Source organism: Homo sapiens, chromosome 4 (assembly GCF_000001405.40).
Source record: "Homo sapiens chromosome 4, GRCh38.p14 Primary Assembly".
In the NCBI taxonomy this organism is placed as follows: Eukaryota; Metazoa; Chordata; class Mammalia; order Primates; family Hominidae; genus Homo; species Homo sapiens.
In genome coordinates, this window is record NC_000004.12 from 164,977,740 (window position 1) to 164,992,007 (window position 14,268).

General features: G+C 43.2%; 3 annotated features.

Moving 5' to 3' along the window:
• Positions 27-106: an enhancer, noted in NCBI's record as "active region_22113". NCBI's record gives its function as "activates an Ori minimal core promoter by ATAC-STARR-seq in GM12878 lymphoblastoid cells {active_cell/tissue: GM12878}" and the evidence as "EXISTENCE:reporter gene assay evidence [ECO:0000049][PMID:35858748]".
• Positions 137-196: an enhancer, noted in NCBI's record as "active region_22114". NCBI's record gives its function as "activates an Ori minimal core promoter by ATAC-STARR-seq in GM12878 lymphoblastoid cells {active_cell/tissue: GM12878}" and the evidence as "EXISTENCE:reporter gene assay evidence [ECO:0000049][PMID:35858748]".
• Positions 13,259-13,952: an enhancer, noted in NCBI's record as "H3K27ac-H3K4me1 hESC enhancer chr4:165912150-165912843 (GRCh37/hg19 assembly coordinates)". NCBI's record gives its function as "activates a minimal SCP1, AML or CMV promoter by ChIP-STARR-seq in primed H9 embryonic stem cells {active_cell/tissue: H9 hESC(primed)}" and the evidence as "EXISTENCE:reporter gene assay evidence [ECO:0000049][PMID:30033119]".

The following is a 14,268-nucleotide window of genomic DNA, read 5'->3' on the forward strand; positions in this document are numbered from 1 at the left end:
GAGCTGGGGGCGCCCTCTTCCGTGATCAGGGCCCCGTTGGCCCCAACTGGCATTTAATTCCCCTGGCTGTCTTTTCGGATTCTTATCACTTTTTATGTATATGAGTAAACTTGAGGGTCCAAGTAAGTCTGCAAGTTGGTTTTAAAAGCTTCACCAGCACAGCGTCCCCTCCCAGATGGTGAGGGAGTGGAGAGCTTTGCAGGGTCAACTGCTTCCCGTAGCCTGGGGTCGCAGGGTGGAGTCGTTGAGCACTCCCTATGCTTGAAAGAGGAATAGAAGCCCCTTTGGATTAGTTTGCATCTCAGTGGGTGAGTGGGTGGATCTCTCCCACCCTGTGGGATTGTGCCCTACCCTATGAACTCAGGTTTACCTGAGGAAGTGACATTTCAGGCGGAATTTGAGGGATGAAGAGGCATTCGTTGGATCAATTCCACGGTCAAAGTCTTCAAGGCTGGAAGAAGAGCCAATGTGGAGCCTCTCAACTTTAAAGAATTTAGTACAGGCCGGGCATAGTGGCTCACACCTGTAATCCAAGCACTTTCAGAGGCAGAGGTGGGAGGATCGCTTGAGGCCAGGAGTTCAGGACAAGCCTAGGTAACATTGCCAGACCCTGCGTCTACAAAATATTTTAGAAATGATTTTTTTTTCTTTTAATAAGAGACGGAATCTCTCTTTCGCCCAGGCTGGAGTGCAGTGGCGCGATCTTGGCTCTCTGCAACCTCTGCCTCCCAGTTTCAAGCAATTCTCCTGCCTCTGTCTCCCGAGTAGCTGGGTCTATAGGCGCACGCCGCCACGCCTGGCTAATTTTTTGTTGTTGTATTTTTAGTAGAGACGGGGTTTCATCGTGTTGCCCAGGCTGGATTCGAACTCCTGAGATCAGGCAATCCGCCCGCCTCGGCCTCCCAAAAGTGCCAGGATTACAGGCGTGAGCCACCTCACCCAGCCAGAAATGATAATTTTATTTTTATTTTTATTTTTTTTTTGAGACGGAGTCTCGCTCTGTGGCCCAGGCTGGAGTGCAGTTGCGTGATCTCGGCTCACTGCAAGCTCCGCCTCCCGGGTTCACGCCATTCTCCTGCCTCAGCCTCCAGAGTAGCTGGGACTACAGGTGCCTGCCACCACGCCCAGCTAATTTTTTGTATTTTTAGTGGAGACGGGGTTTCACCGTGTTAGCCAGGATGGTGTCGATTTCCTGACCTCGTGATCCGCCCGCCTCGGCCTCCCAAAGTGCTAGGAGTACAGGCGTGAGCCACCGCGCCCTGCCTAGAGATGATAATTTTTAAAAACTTGGTACAAAAGGAACTGAAAGAGGTCATTTGGTTGGCACTACAACGTGGGAAATTGCAAGAAGTATAAAATATGGAAAATGGCTTTGTGAGGCTGATGAGATAGGCGAGAATGAATGCTGCAAGGCCCTTTAGGCAAAATTGAGGATATTGGTTTTTATCAAATGCAAAGAAAAGCCAGTGAAGCATTTTAAACATGAAGTACTAAGATTTGAATTGTGGAATAAAGACCCGTCGATGCCTTTAATATATCCTAGAAAGGGTGTATGGTGGACAGTTGAATAGAGGTGTGACCTAGACAAATCAACCGATAAAGCAAAGTCCTTGTTCGTAAACCTTTTGAAATTCCAGAGTCTCCTGAAAAAGAAAGGAAAAGAAATACCAGTGGCAGCAGCTTCCCCCATATTACTTTGCAGTGAGGTGAGTGCATGGTATTTATTTGTTATTTTCGCCCAGGCTGGAGTACAATGGCGCCATTTTGGCTCACTGCAAGCTCCGCCTCGCGGGTTCAGCCTCCCTGGTTCAAACAGTTCTCCTGCCTCAGCCTACAGAGTAGCTGGGATTACAGGCGCGTGCCACCCACGCCCGGCTAAGTTTTTGTGCTTTCAGTACAGACGGGGGTTTCACTGTGTTGGCCCGGCTGATCTCAAACTCCTGGGCTTAAGCGATCCACCCGCCTCGGGCTCCCAAAATGCTGGGATTACTTAAAGGTGTGAGCCACTGCACCCACCCTGTATATTATGCTATTTAAACAAACTATGCAGCCAGCAGGGTGGTTTCTTTCCCTGTCACAGTACGTGGCATTAAAAATCACGCTTGTAATCCCAGCACTTTGGGAGGCCGAGGTGGGCGGATAACAAGGTCAGGAGTTCGAGACCAGCCTGACCAACATGGTGAAACCCCATCTCTACTAAAAATACAAAAATTAGCCGGCGTGGTGGCGCCTGCCTGTAATCCCAGCTACTCAGGGGAGGAACTGCTTGAACCCGTGAGGCAGAAGTTGTAGTGGGCCGAGATCGCGCCACTGCACTCCCGTCTGGGCGACAGAGGGAGACTTTGTCACCAAAAAAAAAATTATTTAAGATACCCAAAGGACTATAAATCATTCTACTATAAAGACACATGCACACGTATGTTTATTGCAGCACTATTTACAATAACAAAGATTTGGAACCAATCCAAATGCCCATCAGTGATAGAATGGATAAAGAAAATGTGAACATAGCCGGGCGTGGTGGCTGACGCCTGTAATCCCAGCACTTTGGGAGGCTGAGGCAGGTGGATCACCTGAGGTCAGGAGTTCGAGACCAGCCTGGCCAACATGGTGAAACCCTGTCTCTACTAAAAATACAAAAATTAGCCGGGCATGGTGGCAAGCACCTGTAATCCCAGCTACACGGGAGGCTGTGGCAGGAGAGTCGCTTGAACCCGGGAGCTGGAGGTTGTAGTGAGCCGAGATGGCGCCATTGCACTCAAGCCTGGAGGACAAGAGCGAGACTTCAACTCAAAAAGAAAAAAAAAAATGAAAATGTGGAACACATACACCATGGAATATTCTGCAGCCATAAAAAAATGAGGGAAATAGTTGAGGGACATAGTACTTTGCAGGGACATAGTTGAAGCTGAAAGCCATCATTCTCAGCAAATTAACACAGAAACAGAAAATCAAACACCTCATGTTCTTACTCAAAAGTGGCAGTTGAACAATGAGAACACATGGACACAGGGAGCAACAAAACATGAGGGCCTGTTGGGGGGTGGGAGGGCAAGGGGACGAGAGTATTAGGACAAATACCTAATGCATGCGGGGCTTAAAACCTAGATAACAGGTTGATAGGTGCAGCAGACCACCATGGCACATGTATACCTATGTAACAAACCTGCACATTCTGCACATGTATCCCGGAACTTAAAGTAAAATTTTAAAAAAGAAAAATAACTTAAGAGACCAGGCATGGTGGCTCAACGACTATAGTCCCAAAACTTTGAGAGGCCGAGGCAGGTGATTACTTGAGGTCTGAAGTTCGAGACCAGCCTGGCCAACATGGTGAAACTCTGTCTCTACTAAAAATACAAAAATTAGCTAGGCCTGGTGATGGGCGCCTGTAATACCAGCTATTCAGGAGGCTGAAGCAAGAGAATTGCTTAAACCTGGGAGGCAGAGGTTGCAGTGAACCAAGATGGCGCCACTGCACTCCAGCCTGGGCGACAGAGCGAGACTCTGTCCCAAAAATAAATGAGTAAGTGAATAAATAAATAAATAAACAAATAAATACTTAATATGGGAACCCCATCAATATGGCACTGAATCCTGCAAGGCTGACTATACCTCATAGGATACAGCATAATTTAACTGGATGGGGCCCACCTGCTAGATGCTAATTAACCTAAAGAGATGTGATGTAATTACTCTTCTAGACCAGTTGCCCTAAGAATTTTGTTCTTCCCTACAACAAGAGTTCAGGGCTGGGTGCGGTGGCTCATGCCTGTAATCCCAGCACTTTGGGTGGCCGAGGTGGGTGGATCATCTGAGGTCAGGAGTTTGAGACCAGCCCGGCCAACATGGTGAAACCCCATGTCTACTAAAAATATAAAAACTGGCCAGACATGGTGGTGGGCTCCTGTAATCCCAGCTACTCAGGAGGGTGAGGCAGGAGAATTGCTTGAACCCAGGAGACAGAGGTTGCAGTGAGCTGACACTGTGCCACTGCACTCCAGCCTTGGCGACAGAGTGAAACTCCGTCGTCTCAAAAAAAAAAAAAAAAAAAGAAGAGTTCAGAAGCAATCGGGCTTTCATCTTTACTCCTCCACTGAGACTGTTCCAAGTTTATCAGTGATCTAGTTTTTCAGCTAAAGAATATTTTTCATGCCTGTTACATTCTAAGATGCTTTGTAGCTTTGCTCTATGTCTATTCCATCTGGATTTAGCAGACTACTCTCCCTCTTCCTGTCCATAAAAATATGTAAAGGCCTGTAAGGACGCATAACAGACTTTTTACAGGTAGTTTGATATGTGTATGTATGTGTATATGTGTGTGCATACACATGTGTGTCTGTGTACTTCTGCAGGTTAGAGGAAGAAAATAAAGAGCAGTGGTGAAGACTTGACTTTAGAACCAGGTTTCCAGGAGTTCATATCCATGCTCTGTCCTCCTCTATCTTGTGTAACCTTAGCAGTTATCTTTTTCTGCCTTTCTCATCTGGTTAAAAAAAGGAGGGATGGGGCAATAATAGTTCAACTTACTTTTTAGATTTGTGAAGACTAAATGAGTTTTCATGAGTTAAAGCACTTTGAACAGTGTCTGGTATGGTAAATGTAGTGTAAAATACATATAAAACATATTTTGTTAACATAAATACATACTGATTATCTATAAACTAATCTGAAATTTTTTTTTCTGTTTCTATCTGAGGGCAGAAGTAAGATTATAGAGGGAGGTGGTCAGGCGCGGTGGCTCAAGCCTGTAATCCCAGCACTTTGGGATGCCGAGGTGGGTGGATCACCTGAGGCCAGGAGTTTGAGATCAGCCTGGACAACATGGCAAAACCCCATCTCTTCTAAAAATACAAAAATTAGCCAGGCGTGATGGTGGGTGCCTGTAATCCCAGCTACTTGGGAGGCTGAGTTTGGAGAATCACTTCAACCCGGGAGGCGGAGATTGCATTGAGCTGAGATTATGCCACTGCACTCTAGCCTGGGCAACAAGAGCAAAACTCTGTCTCAAAAAAAAAAAAAAATCCATCTGTTATTGTCTATTTCTCTCTTCTATTTTGTCAAATTTTGATTCATAAATTTTGATTTTTTTTTTTTTGAGACAGAGTTTTATTCTTGTCATCCAGGCTGGGGTGTAATGGTGTGGTCTCGGCTCATGGCAACCTCTGCCTCCTGGGTTCAAGTGATTCTCCTGCCTCAGCCTCCCAGGTAACTGGGATTACAGGTGCCTGCCCCCAAGCCCAGCTAATTTTTGTATTTTTAGTAGAGACAGAGTTTCGCCATGTTGGCCAGGCTGGTCTGGAACTCGTGACCTTGTGATCTTCCTGCCTCGGCCCCCTGCAAGTGCTGGGATTACAGGCGTGAGCCACCACACCCGACCAGATCATTTGTTATTAGGTGTGTAAATGTTTATAATTGTTACATCTTCTGTTTTGAATCTTGTATTAACATATAATTCCTTTCTTTGTCTCTTAGAATCTTTTTGATTTAATGTCTGTTTTGTCTGATACAAGTATGATGACCACTGCTCTCTTTTAGTTTCTGTTTGCATGGAATACCTTTTTCATTCATTCACTTTCAACCTGTTTGTGTCTAAAGGATATTCACTTTGAATATCCTTTAGACTATATATATGTGGATCATTTTAGACTTAATTCTGCCATTCTGTCTTTGATTAAAAATTTAATTCATTTACATTTAAAATAATAACTGATAAGAAGGGATTTACTTTTGTCATTTTGCTATTTGTTTTCTACATTCTGTATAGTATTTTTGTTTCATTATTTCCATGCAGAGCTGATGCTAAGATAAAAGCTAAAATGGACTGACATTAATGGCAGTTTATCTTCCAAGACTTTCCCTGGAATTTCCAAGCGTGAAAAAAGACTGCAGAGGCTGCGTGCGGTGGGTCATGCCTGTAATCCCAGCACTTTGGGAGGCTGAGGTGGGTGGATCAAAATATCAGGAGTTTGAGACCAGCCTAGCCAATATGGTAAAACCCCGTCTCTACTAAAAATACAAAAAACTTAGCCAGGTGTGGTGGCACACGCCTGTAATCCCAGCTACTTGGGAAGCTGAGGCAGGAGAATTGCCTGAACCCAGGAGGCAGAGGTTGGAGTGAGCTGAGATTGCGCCACTGCCCTCCAGCCTGGGTGACAGAGTGAAACTCCATCTCAAAAAAAAAAAAAAAAAAAAAAAAGACTCCAGAGAGTTCCACAATAGTTTCATCAGAGAGATTTTGTTAGCGCAATTGCTGGCTAGGTAGGAAAAAAGATTCTTGATGTTTCCTACTTCTCTATCTTCCAACAATTCTTCCCTGTTGCTTATTTCAGTGTGTTCTTTTCTTCTATTAAACTGTACTCATGAGTTGTTATGCACTGAATATGTGTGTTTCACCAAAATTCATATGTTTAAGCCTTAATTCTTAGGGCTTACATTCTTACATTCAAATTTTTTTTTTTTTCCTTTTGAGACAGTTTCATTCTTGTTGCCCAAGCCAGTGTGCAAAGGCGCGGTCCCGGCTCACTGCAACCTCCATCACCCAGGTTCAAGCAGTTCTCTGGCCTGAGCCTCCCGAGTAGCTGGGATTACATGGGATTACAGGTGTGCACCACCACACCCAACTAATTTTTTTCTATTTTTAGTAGAGATGGAGTTTCACCATGTTGGCCAGGCTGGTCTCGAACTCCTGACCTCAGGAGATCCACCTGCCTCAGCCTCCTAAAGTGCTGGGATTAAAATTTTTTTTAATTCAACATTTTCTTAAATTCAAAATGTCTTTACATTCTTAAATTCAAAATTCATATGTTTAAGCCCTAATCTGAACTTAATGACTTCCCAAAGTGGCCACTTTTATATTTTGTACAGTGAAAAAATATGAAGGCGGTGCCTTTGGGAAAGTCATTAGGTTTAGATGAGTTCATGAGGGTGGGGTCCCCATGATGGGATTAGTGGCCTTATCAGAAGAGGAAGAGAGAACCAAGCTCTTTCTGTGCACACAAGAGAGAAAAGGCATCAGAATGAAACCTGTCTTGCTGGCACTTTGATCTTGGACTTCCCAGTGTCCACAGTATGGAGAAATAAATTTCTATTTTTTAGGTCACCCAATGATGGTGTTTTGTTATGGTAGCCAAAGCAGACTAAATCATGATATATCAGCTTTGCTGAATTTTGTGAGCTTTTATAGTGAATTATTGAACCTGAGTGTGGTCTTGAGGACCTCCTGAACTTGTAGTGGTGATTAGAAAGACTTTTTTCTAGGCTGGGGGCGGTGGCTCACACATAATCCCAGCACTTTGGGAGGCTGAGGAGGGCAGATGACCTGAGGTGAGGAGTTCAAGACCAGCCTGACCAAAATGGTGAAACCCCATCTCTACTAAAAATACAAAACTTAGCCAGTTGCGGTGGCAAGCACCTGTAATCCTAGCTACTAGGGAGGCTGAGGCAGGAGAATTGCTTGAACCCAGGAAACAGAGGTTGCAGTGAGCTGAGATTGCACCACTGCACTTCAGCCTGTGCGACAGAGCCAGACTACTCCAACTCAAAAAAAAAAAAGATTTTGTTCTCTATAACACTAGTCTGAGAGTGTGCAGAAGAGATTATACAGTTTCTATAATATTCTAAGAGTGGATGTAAAGTAAATTACTTCAATTGTTGGATTGTTAATAAATTTACAGGTTTTTTGCTATTGTGTGTAACATTATGGTGAAATGTGGCACATATACATTTTTAAATTATATTTTTCATAACAACCCTTATCATGAGACCTACCCACTCAACCAGGTTTCAAGTGTATAATACACTCTTCTTGATCATGATCTAGATCAAGGTCTTACAGCAGGTCTGTAGAGCTTATTTATCTTGTTTACCTAAAATTGAATGTCTGTTGATTAGTAACTTTCCATTTCCCCTACTCCCAACCCTTGGCAAACACCATTCCCCTCAGATTTTATGAATTTAACTATTTTAGATATCCCATACAAGTGGAAGCATGCAGTATTTCTTTTTTGTGACTGACTTATTTCCCTTATTATAATGACCTTAAGGTTCATCCATGTTCTCACATAGAACACAGTTTTCTTCTATTTTAAGGCTGAATAGTATTCCATTCCATTGTATGCATCTGTCACATTTTCTTTATCCATTCATCTGTCAATAGAAATTTAGGTTGTTCGCACCTCTTAGGTATTGTGACAACTGTTGCAGTAAACATTGGGAGTCCCGGTATCTCTTCCAGATCCTAATTTTAATTTTTTTGAGTAAATCCTCAAAAGTGAGATTGCTGGATCATATGGTAATTCTATTTTGATTTTTTTAGGAACTTCCACATTGTTTTCATAGCAGCTACACCATTTTTCTTTCCCATTAAAGGTGTGTAAGGGTGGCTGGGCGCAGTGGTTCATGCCTGTAATCCCAGCACTTTGGGAGGCTGAGGTGGGCAGATCACAAGGTCAGGAGTTCGAGACCAGCCTGGCCAATATGGTGAAACCCCGTCTCTACTAAAAGTACAAAAATTAGTCGGGCGTGTTGGCAGACACCTGTAGTCCCAGCTACTCAGGAGGCTGAAGCAAGAGAATTGCTTGAACCCAGGGGGTGGAGGTTTCAGTGAGACAAGATCATGCCACTGTACTCCAGCCTGGGCGACAGAGCGAGACTTCTTCTCAAAAAAAAAAAAAAAAAAGTGTGTAAGGGTTATAATGTCTCCACATTATTACCAACAGTTGTCTTTTTTTTTTTTTTTGAGACAGAGTTTCACTCTTGTTGCCCAGGCTGGGGTGCAATGGCGCGATCTCGGCTCACCGCAACCTCCGCCTCCCAGGTTCAAGCAATTCTCCTGCCTCAGCCTCCCGAGTAGCTGGGATTACAGGCATGCACCACCATGCCTGGCTAATTTTTTGTATTTTTGGTAAAGACAGGGTTTCTCCATGTTGGTCAGGCTGGTCTCGAACTTGCGACCTCAGGTGATCCACCCGCCTCGGCCTCCCAAAGTGCTGGGATTACAGGCGTGAGTCACCGCTCCCAGCCTGTCTTTTGTTTTTTATTTGATAGCCATCCTGACAGGTGTGAGGTAATACCTCATCTTTTTGATATGCATGTTTCCTGAAGATCAGTAATTTTTAGCTTTCTTCATATGCCTGTTGGCTATGGGTGTATTTTTCCTTAGGGCTAGATGTCTATTAAAGTCTTCTGACCGTTTTAGTTTAGCTTAGAATTCCACTCTCAGTTGAAACAAACTAGGTGGTTACTGGCAATGGAGTAAGGTGCAATTTTAAAAACTTTACTTATGAAAGAGAAAGGAGGTTAAAGAAAAACCAAGTGAAAGCAGCATCCTACTTTTTCACCATATTTTTATGCTGAAAAGTCTTCTAAGTTAAGTAAGAGACAAGTAAGTTTAGTCCAAAGTAGAGTTCCTGAGAAGTGTTGAGAATATCCGCAACAGATACGAAAACCTAAAAATTCCAGCAGTGTTTTTAAAGAAATTAAAGAGAGTTGATGTCTTTCTCCACAATGTGTTGGCCTGCATAAATGATCAACATATTGAAGGCAGATTTCACACTAGATCCTGAAACTGCCCACCCCAATTTTATCATATTAGAAGAGAGAAATATATGACGTATGGGAGAATGAAACCAAACTTTTCTTACAACCTATACTGATTTTCTTCTCACCTCACTATCCTGAGCGCTGGAGGATTTGATGCTGGCAGGCATCACTGGCAGGAAGAAGTAAGAAACACAGGACACCGGGCTACAGGAGTGTGCAGGGAGTCTCTTCAGCGATGCTCTGACATCAGCATCACTCAGTGAGGGCTAGTGGCAAGTTCAGCTCTAGATTAGTCCATGTGGCACAAGGGACACGGGAGGACTGGCGCACGTTGACATTTTTTCTGGATTTTGCGTTTGGAAAGGTTTCATTCTACAATAATAACAATAGACTCCAAATGTATACCTTCCCTGATACTTTTACAGAAAACCTTTGGCCTTATATCACTACTACACCTACTTCAAATATTTTACAGTCTGTGGAATCTAAGATGAATGATGAATGACCTGGAAGGCTATTCACATCTTGTTTAATTTTTTTTTTTTTGAGACGGAGTCTCACTGTTGCCCAGGCTGGAGTGCAGTGGCGCAATCTCGGCTCACTGCAAGCTCCGCCTCCCAGGTTCACGCCATTCTCCTGCCTCAGCCTCCCAAGTAGCTGGGACTACAGGCTCCCACCACCTTGCCCGGCTAATTTTTTGTATTTTTAGTAGAGACGGGGTTTCACCGTGTTAGCCAGGATGGTCTTGATCTCCTGACCTCATGATCCCCCCGCCTCGGCCTCCCAAAGTGTTGGGATTACAGGCGTGAGCCACCGCGCCCGGCCTTCTTTAATATTTTTTCCATGTTCCTGAAAGTATTTCCGGACATTGTTTAACCTCAGTTAATTGTTAGGATTAATTATGTTACAAGAGTTAGGGTGTTTTTTTGTCAATAAGCAGATGAAAATTATTTTTTTCATTGGTTCCAAAAACTAGTTATAATATATGAATTATAATATAATTAGAATATTCTAATCAGAATATTCTACTTCACAGAAATTATGTGGGAATCAGTTACAAAATGGTTTAGCAATTCCAAAAGGGAAGACTCTAGAAATATAACTTTTTCTTGCCAATTTTGTATTCTCAGTGCCAATAAATGTATTTCACCATGTTTACTAATTTTGTATTGTCATGTGTCCTATATGTTATGTATGTAAGAAGCTTCAGAAGAAGCTTCTTAAGAAATTAATGCTTGGTAGGAGTTTCAGGATCTGTATATGTGGAGAAGTCTTGTACCTCCTGTGCTGTTGCAGAAAGGTAAGTTAATTGATTTCTGTGTTGGGGGCTTTCTAACACTAATCTCAGAATCAGTGAAATGCTAGAAGGACTCAATGAACTTGGAAACACTGGTACATTCTGAGTCCCAATTTATTGTGGTGAAAGGCTGTAGATTAAAATTAATAATGAAAAAATGTACATAGGGCAGGGTCCAGGAGACAGCAGGCATAAGCTCTAGTTGTCTTCTTCCGTAACATGTAAGTGAAGAGAAAAAATATAAGCTAGTCTAGGATATGTAGTAATACTACTGTGTGAATACACACCCATACATGAAAAAGTCTGTGTGATGGAAGAATGATTTCAAAATAAATCTAAATCTGTGTGGAATCATGGATGGGTGATTTTTACTTTTTCCTTTCACTTTACTAGTTCTGGGTCACAGTCAATTAACAAAAATATTATCCAAACCCCTACTGTGACTGTTTACTATTTGCTAAGTCTTTGCTTTCTCATTAAATTCTAATTCAACTGTGAGGCCAGCACTGTTTCTAGGAGCCGGGCTCCTTAGTGCAAATGGGAGAAAGTACTATAGTGCATTTGGAATGTTCTCAAGCACAGCCAGTGAGTGTGAAGAGTAGGATTTTGTAAATTTTAAAAAATATGTATTACTTGAAAACAAAAGTATTACTGGGAGTCATGGACTAGATGTTTGCATCCCCCTAAAATTCACATGTCCAAACCCTGACTCTCGATGCAATTGTATTAGGAGATGAAATCTTTATCAGGTAATTAGGTTTCGATGAGGTCCTAAAGGAGGAGCCCCCATAATGGGATTAATATCTTTTTGAGAAAAGGAAAAGAATTCCCAGGTACCTCACTCTGCCTTGTAAGGTTATAGCACTAAGGCAGCCTGCAGGCCAGAAGAGGGCCCTCACCAGAAGCCCACCAGGCTGACACCCTGATCTTGGGATTGTCCACCCCTGGAATTGTCATAATTAAATGTCTCTTGTTTAAACCACCAAGTCTATTGTAGTTTTTTATAGCAGCCCAAGCTGAGTAAGACACTGGGTAAAAAATATTAGCAAAAAGCTTGTGATCTAGCAGCTGCTACCTCAAAAATCACTGGTATTAAATTACCTTCCCAGTCTTCACCCATTATTCACTCTGGGTGAGTTATTACCTCATTTGCCTGAACTACCGGTCCACAACTTTTAGCACGTTGTATTTTAGAAAATGTATAAGCACAGATGGGGGCTTTGAGCTCTATGTTTTCAAAGACTTATTTCTGTATTCCTGGTCCAATAGTAGGATGGTATAATAAATCTTGATAGCAACTAGGAAAATACATCTTCTCTGTATGTACTTCCTTATTTAGAATGGCTTCGATGCCTCCTGGACAATTACTTTGGCATAGGAATTTTACTATCACCAGATACACATCACCAGAGTTCTTGTAAACATTTGCTTGAAAACACATGAAATTTATATATTAACTGGAGAGAACTGAGACCCTCAAACTCAAGATCCTATTGAAGGTAAGTAACTTAGACTGAGGGTGAATCTTATTTCTTGATTTTAAGTCAATAACAAGGGAATGTTGTTAGCTCAGCACAGCTCCCTCCCAACTCAGACTCCACCGTCCAATGTCCCAAACCTCACCGCGCTTGAGGAGCAGGCTGGGTTGAATATTGAGCACCAGCTTCATGAAACTCCTGTCTGATCACTTCTACTTCTGGAAAGCTCACTTGTATTCTCGGAGTTTCCTTAGCTGTGTTAATTTAAATATATCTATATTGATGTTTTCCCCTCTCTAACAACCATATATTTCCACAGGAATGGTGTGGGGAAAAGCAAGAGAGATCAGATTGTTACTGTGTCTGTGTAGAAAGAAGTAGACATAGGAGACTCCATTTTGTTCTGTACTAAGAAAAATTCTTCTGCCTTGAGATGCTGTTAATCTGTAACCTTACCCCCAACCCCTTGCTCTCTGAAACATGTGCTGTGTCAACTCAGGGTTAAATGGATTAAGGGCGGTGCAAGATGTGCTTTGTTAAACAGATGCTTGAAGGCAGCATGCTCATTAAGAGTCATCACCACTCCCTACTCTCAAGTACCCAGGGACACAAACACTGCAGAAGGCCGCAGGGACCTCTGCCTAGGAAAGCCAGGTATTGTCCAAGGTTTCTCCCCATGTGATAGTCTGAGATATGGCCTCATGGGAAGGGAAAGACCGACCGTCCTCCAGCCCGACACCCGTAAAGGGTCTGTGCTGAGGAGGATTAGTAAAAGAGGAAGGAACCGCCTCTTTGCAGTTGAGACAAGAGGAAGGCATCTGTCTCCTGCCCATCCCTGGGCAATGGAATGTCTCGGTATAAAACCCGATTGTATGTTCCATCTACTGAGATAGGGGAAAACTGCCTTAAGGCTGGAGGTGCGACATGCGGGCAGCAATACTGCTCTTTAAGGCATTGAGATGTTTACGTGTATATATATCTAAAGCACAGCACTTAATTCTTTACCTTGTCTATGATGCAGAGACCTTTGTTCACGTGTTTATCTGCTGACCTTCTCTCCACTATTATCCTATGACCCTGCCACATCTGCCTCTCCGAGAAACATGCAAGAATGATCAATAAATACTAAGGGAACTCAGAGGCTGGCGGGATCCTCCATCTGCTGAACGCTGGTCCCCTGGGCCCCCTTATTTCTCTCTCTATACTTTGTCTCTGTGTCTTTTTATTTTCCAAGTCTCTCGTTCCACCTAAGGAGTAACACCCACAGGTGTGGAGGGGCAACCCCCCCCTTCAGAATGGAAGTACATGACAGCACTCCTTTAAAACAATATGGTATCTCTGAAATGTCCACATAGCTCCTGGAGATGCCACACAAGCCACTGGAAAGTGCTGCTCTCCAAATTTAGGAAATTAAAATCAGACAACACTGTTTCAGTTGCTGTTTTAATTGACTGGATCTTATTTAAATTTGGTGTGAGATGAATCCTGTTCTAATTCATACTGCACAGTTCAGGAAACTTGGTGCGGGAGGTTAGGTGAGTCCCAGGGCTATGCCGCCTCTGAGTGGGAGGAGCACCTGGTGCCTTCTCCTCTAAGCTGTAGCACCTGTGGCAATGGAGCACTGCTCCCAACTTCAGAAATAGAGCATTTGCTGTGTATTTTGTATTATTTGATAGCACCATTGTTGAGTGAAGCTTTGCCGGGGACCCTCAAACTCCAACCTCTTTTTGGTTCCCTTGAGGTTACCTTGCTATTCTGCCCTCAGACTGCTTTAAATATCACCTTAGGAATTAGGACAAGGCCGGGTGCAGTCGCTTAGGGCTGTAATCCCAGCACTTTGGGAGGCTGAGGCTGGTGTATCACCTGAGGTCAGGAGTTTGAGATCAGCCTGGCCAACATGGCAAAACCCCGACTCTACTACAAATACAAAAATTGTCCGAGCGTGGTGGC